Here is a 6,933-nt window from a genome sequence, read left to right as displayed (position 1 = left end):
GCTAGAAGGCAACCTATTTCCAGTAGGTTCATTTAAAGGGCTTTGGAATCCTCAGATTTTAAGGTACTGTTATTAGTCCGTTTTCACACTCCTATAAAGAACTGCCCGAGACTAGGTAATTTATAAAGGAAAGAGGTTTAATTGACTCACAGTTTAGCATGGCTGGGGAGGCCTCAGGAAACTTACAATCATGGCAGAAGGCAAAGGGCCCCTTCTTCATGAGACAGCAGGAAGGAGAAGTGCTGAGCAAAGGGGAAGAGTCCCTTAGAAAACCATCAGCTCTCGTGAGAACTCACTATCACCAGAACAGCAGGGGAGAAAACACCACTACGATTCAATTACCTCCACCGGGTCCCGGGTCTCTCCCTTGACATGTGGAGATTATGAGGATTACAATTCAAGATGACATTTGGGTGGTGATACAAAGCCTAAGCATATTAGTACCTTTATATGTGTTTCTCATTTAAACCTCAAAACGGCCTTGCTGCCCAGTAAGACAACCTGGAGAAGTTAGAACACACATCTCTGACACCTGACTCTGTCCTTTCCCACAGGGTTGAGCTCTAGCTTATGTCAGGGATTAAGACACTCTTTCCTCAAAGAGTCCCTAGTATTTCTTTTTCTTTTTTTTTTTTTTTTTTGAGATGGAGTTTCACTCTTGTTGCCCAGGCTGGAGTGCCATGGCGCAATCTCAGCTCACCACAGCCTCCGCCTCCCGGGTTCAAGCAATTCTCCTGCCTCAGCCTCCCAAGTAGCTGGGATTACAGGCATGCGACACCATGTCTGGCTAATTTTGTATTTTCAGTAGAGATGGGGTTTCTCCATGTTGGTCAGGCTGGTCTTGAACTCCTGACCTCAAGTGATCTGCCCACCTTGGCCTCCCAAAGTGCTGGGATTACAGGTGTGAACCACTGTGCCCAGCAGTGGTTTTTCTTTTTCCTTTTTTTGAGACAGCTTCACTCTGTCACCCAGGCTGGAGTGCAGTGGTGCAATCTTGGCTCAAGTTCTCTCTATTGTGGATAGAGAGACTATCCACAATACACGCTCAACACGTGATCGGAATGGAGTGGATGATGAGTGATTAACTATCAGCAGGTCCTTCAGAAGGTTGCTGGTTGTCTCCAACCAGGGCCTTCTCCTGACCCAAGTTCAAGCGATTCTCGTGCCTCAGCCTCCAGAGTAGCTGGGATTACAGGCGCATGCCACCATGCCCAGCTAATTTTTTGTTGTTGTTGTATTTTTAGTAGAAACAGGGTTTCTCCATGTTAGGCAGGCTGGTCTCAACCTCCTGACCTCAAGTGATCTGCCCACCTTGGCCTCCCAAAGTGCTGGGATTACAGGTGTGAACCACTGCGCCCAGCCAGACCCTAGTATTTCTTAACAGCCCATTTGAGCCCACAGACTAGCAGCAGATTAAAGCTCAATCTGAGACCAGGACCCCATGGCAGATGCTCTGCCCCATCTCAACTAGCCTAGCACCCTTGAGGCGGCACTGCAGCCATGCAGTACAGTGAGAAATCATCACAGGGTCAAGAACAGAATGTCATGATATCAATCAGAGTCTCATATTCAGTTCCCCAGGCAGAATATGTATGAAAAGGACCTGAGAATTATGAAGAGGAGTGTTGAGATATTTGCTATGATTGTCAGGGTGGTGCTGGGTCTGAGGTTGAACCTGTATATTTGAATCTCAATTTCTGTAGAAGTTAGAACTTCAGATACCCCATTCGCCTCCTTTCTATACATTACAAACATCCCCTGCATGCCTGACACGGTGGCTCATACCTGTAATCCCAGCACTTTGGGAGGCTGAGGTGGGAGGATCACCTGAGGCCAGGAATTCGAGACCAGCCTGGCCAACATGGTGAAACCCTGTCTCTACTAAAAATACAAAAATTAGCCAGGCGTAGTGGCAGATGCCTGTAATCCCAGCTACTTGGGAGGCTGAGGCAGGAGAATCACTTGAACCTGGGAGGTGGAGGTTGCAGTGAGCCAAGATCGCACCACTGCACTTCTGCCTGGGCGACAGAGCGAGACTCTGTCTCAAACAACAACAACAACAAAACAAAAATAATAAAAAAAAATTCCCTGCACATTATTTATTTCGATTCAGCAGGTATTTACTGAGCACCTCCTAAGGGAAGGGCTAGCTGACATCCGTATGTTGTCTGTATCTTTGATGGTATGAATTTTTAGATTGAAAGTTATGAAAATATTCTACAGATGGAAGATTAAACTCTATCCCTGACCAGGGACTTCCAATCTGAAATAAGGATCCTTATCTCTTCTCACCTTGAACTAGGAATTATTTAAGACATAATCAATTAAATTCAGCTTGCCTGATTGTCAAAGTGAAGTAAAATAATCTCAAATATGGGTTTATGTCAGAAGCACACAGATGCTCTTTGGACACACACATTCTATGGCTTGTGTTTATTTTCACATAGAACTCTTAAAACTGGGAGTGTCCATATCCTGAATTTGGGGTTGAGGGAGAAGCAAGAATCTTAAAATAGGCTACTTGAAAGTGTTGCTTTTGTAAATAATCGTATGATAATTTAATGAAATGAAATCATATGAACCAAAATTGTTAAACTTGAGTGGTTTTATTATTTAAAAAGTGAAATATCACCAAGCTCTTGAAAGCTCTAAATTATAGAATACTTCTGAAAGAGTATAGTTTTATTATATTTCAATATATGGGACCATATGTCATGACAGATTATGTAGTATGATAGAAAATTACCTGGAAACAAATTTGGAGACCGAGTTTATAAACTTTGGATTATCTCTGGATTGTTGAGACTTCACCCTTCTGTACCTCACTTTTTTTGTCAAGTTCTTTTTACAAGAGTTTTAGATTTATAGAAAAATGGAGAAAATACTACTGTGAGTAACTCACATCTGGTTTCCCCTATTACTGACATTTTACATCAGTATACTCTCTCATTAGTGAATGAATATTGGTGCATGATTATTAACTCAAATCCACTTAATTCAGATTTCCTAATTTTTTCATAATGATCTTTTTCTGTCTCAGGATCCCATCCCAGATACCACATTACTTTTAGTTATCATGGTCTTTTTAGGCTCCTCTTGTCTGTGACACTTTCTCAGACTTTTCTTGTCTTTGGTGACCTTGAAAGTTTTGAGGACGACTGGTCAGGCTTCTTATAGGATGTCCCTCAATTGGGGTTTGTCTGATACTTTCCTCACGGTCAGAGTTATTGGTCACCTCACATTTTGTAACTGTAAAATGATTACACTTACGAGATCAAATGAGGATGGGATGCGGAGAGGATGCCTGGAAAACAGTGGCAAACGGGAGCTGTCCTGAGCACATGATGACAGGGAGTCCCCCCATTTCTCAAGTCCTTTTTACTGTAAAAATGTCCTTGACCCTCCGTACAAGTACACATAACTGAACCAAGCTGAAGGAAATGTTCCACATAGCTTCTTATGAAATTCATTCTAATGTCATGAATAAATTAGATATCTGTTAGCAATTATAAAGGACTTCAAAAGCTATTTGTTTGTAATTGCTTGCTTTTTCAACCATAGGAAGGGTGATCCTTTCTCTTAAAGATTCATTAATACCTTAATTTGTGCAGGGAATACTTTTTCAATCTTCTGCACCAAGTAGGACAACTCAATCCCTATCAAAGTTATCTAACTATGTGGAGGTACCAGGAGTTTAATATTGGAATAATTGATTCCAAATGCCGAAATGCCATCCTTTCTAAAAGCAACTAAAGTCAACTGTATCTATCGCTTCTGTGTTGCTGAAAATCTAGAAAGATGGGGAGGAAACATTGACTGACCACTGTGGTTTGTACATGCATTTAGTGAGTCTCCCCACCTCAGTGCCAAGCTCAGTGTAGCCACTGAGACTCTGCATGGCTTCAGCTCATTCCTTCAGTGATGAGCTCTTGTATTTCATGTGAGAATGCAGATCAGGGTGTGTAAGAGCAAAGCGAAGACCTTCCAGCAGACCAGGGCCTCCTCACTTGGAAGAAAATTGTGGCTATCACTTTTTAGTGTATAGCAGTCGTTTTTAAGTTTTGGTTGGAAATGGGGATGTAAATCTCCCATTGTATCTTTCATTTCTGACTGCTGGTGGGAGAGGGAAGTGGCTCCCTTAATCTAAGCACTAAGAAAAATTTAGACACTTATTCCCACTCGTTTCATCCCACGTCCAAACTGTTAGTAAGTCCCATACCATCTACCATCTAAAATGTGCACCAAATCCATCTACTTCTACCTACCCCTTCCATGACCACCCTAGTTGAAGCTGCCAACATCTTTCCTCTGAAGGACTTGCTTTCCCACTGTAGCCCCACTCAATTCACTGCCAGATATCAGTTAGCGTGGTCCCTTCAAAATGAAAATCAGAACAGGTTACCCTCCCCTACTGAAAACTACTCAGTGGCTTTCAGTTGAGATGGAAATAAAATCCAATCACTCACCACCACAGCTTGGGAGGCTTCGTGTGGTCTAGGCCCTGATTCCAGTTTCCTATACTCATCCTTCACATGCCAGGCTGCTCCCAGCCCAGGGCCTTTGCACCAGCAAAGGTGGTGATCTTTGCATAGCTGGCTTCTATTTGTTACTGAGCTCTTGGCTCAAATATCCCTCCTCCAAAAGGTCTTTCTTGCCAATCTAATTCAGAGTAGCCCTTAAATTACTCTATCACCCTCTCTTAAAATAATTCTCTATGTATTGCAACCAGCTATATCTCTTACTTGTTTATCACGTGTTTCAACGCCTTGAATGAACTGAGAACAGAGACCTTGATTGTCTTCGTCACAGCTACTTCGGCAGCACCCACAATGGGGCCCAGCACATCATATAATAGGTGCTCAATTAGTTTTTGTGGAATGAACTAACATAGAGCTAGAGCTACTCTGCACACTGAAGTAAAAGGCTGTTTTCCTTGGGAGAAGGGCACGTGTATATTTGTTTTGTTTTGCTAAGTCCTGGGAGAGGCATTCCAAAAGATCCAGAATCTGCAGAAAGAGAGGGGATGCGAAAAAAGACTTTGAGGTAAGATGAACTGCAGCAAAATTTAAAGCTCCTGTCAATCAACACCATTGAGAATAGAAAAAGGCAAGCCACCAACTGGGAAAAATATTTGCAATATATATATATATATCTACCAAAAGATACAAGCGCATATAAGAATTGCTAAAAATTAACAGAAAAAACAATTCTATCAAACATGGGCAAATGGCTTTAATTGAAGCTTCTCAACAGAAGATATAGGAATAGCCAATAAGCTCATGAAAATGTGCTAAACATCATTAGACATTAGGAAAATACAAATTCAAACCACAATGAGATATGACTTCATACACACTAGAATCTCTAAAATTTAAAGGCTTGTCAGTAAAGTCAAGGTGTATAAAAAACTTAAAATTATAAAGACTGACAGACCCAAATGTTGACAAAGGTGCAGAGCAACTAGAACCGTCATCTATGACCAATGGAAGCGTAAAATGCTATAACCACTTTGCAAAACCATTTGGTAGATTCTTATGAATTTAAATATGTATAATACGAATCCATTTATCTGTGTTTACTCAAGAGTAGTGAAAATATATTTAAACAAAAGACTTGTACAAGAATGTTTACAGAAGTTATTCATAATGGACAAAAGCAAATACCCAAATATCCATCAACAACTGCACTTCTCAGCAATAAAGACAGATAAAACACGAATTCATATATCAACATGAAAGCATCTCAAAAACATTCGTTGCACAAAAGAAGCCAAACAAAAAGTGTGCGCTATTGACTTTATTTATATGACATTTGTGACAGGTTAAATGAATCTATGGTGAATGACATAAGAAAACGTGTTGTCTGTGAGAAAGGTGTTGGGCATTGACTGGAAGAGGGGCACAAAGGGAACTTACTTGGGTGATGGAAATGTTCTATATTTTGTTTATATGTTGGTAACATGAGAGAATACTGTCAAAACGCATCAAGTACACTTAGGATATTTGCCTTTCACTTACTATATGTAAATTTTACCTGAAAAAATCTAATATGAAAGATAACTATAAAAAAATGATGGAAACTGATTGCCCCTGAGTTATGTGGTCTTTTGGGGGCCTTTTCTGTTCATGTCCAAATGGAACTGCTTGAGCTCCTTCCCCATTAACTGTGGGAAGTCCAGTACTCTACTTGGGATTTGAGGGTTGATGGATAAACAGCAAAAAGGGTCCTATTGCTACTGTCTATAAATGTCTGTTATCAGCCCAGCTCTCAAATCCAAAGCATTCCCTGTCCTCCTGCAGCTGCTGTGTGCTGTTCATTCTTGTATTTATTCAACAAATGTTTATTGAGTTTGAATTAGTTTCCTAGTACGATTCTACATGATGATCATGACAAGGCCCCTGGTTTCATGACAGTGTTCCTTATAATCCAGTGAGGGATCCAGCCAATTAGCCAACCGATAGTTATCCAGGATAAGAGCCACTCTCATTTCATCTGAAACACAAACACAATCACTCCTTTATTTCTACAGGCTCCACCAGCACAAGTGATATGGTTTGGCTCTGGGTCCCCACCCAAATCTCATCTCGAATTGTAATCCCTGCTTGTTGAGGGAGGGAGATGATTGGATCCTAGGGGCTGTTTCCCCCATATTGTTCTCATGATAATGAGTGAGTTCTCATGAGATCCAATGGTTTTATAAGTGTTTGGAAGTTCCTCCTTTGCACTTCTCTCTTTCCTGCTGCTTTGTGAAGAAGGTACTTGCTTCTTCTTCACCTCCTGCCATGATTGTAAGGTTCCTGAGGCCTTCCCAGCCATGTGGAACTGTGAGTCAATTACACCTCTTTCATTTATAAATTACCTAGTCTTGGGTAGTTCTTTATATTAATAGCAGTGTGAAAATGGACTAATACAACAAAGCTGTTACACACAAGG

Source organism: Homo sapiens, chromosome 2 (assembly GCF_000001405.40).
Source record: "Homo sapiens chromosome 2, GRCh38.p14 Primary Assembly".
Taxonomy (NCBI): Eukaryota; Metazoa; Chordata; class Mammalia; order Primates; family Hominidae; genus Homo; species Homo sapiens.
Note: the sequence above shows the minus strand (reverse complement) of the source record.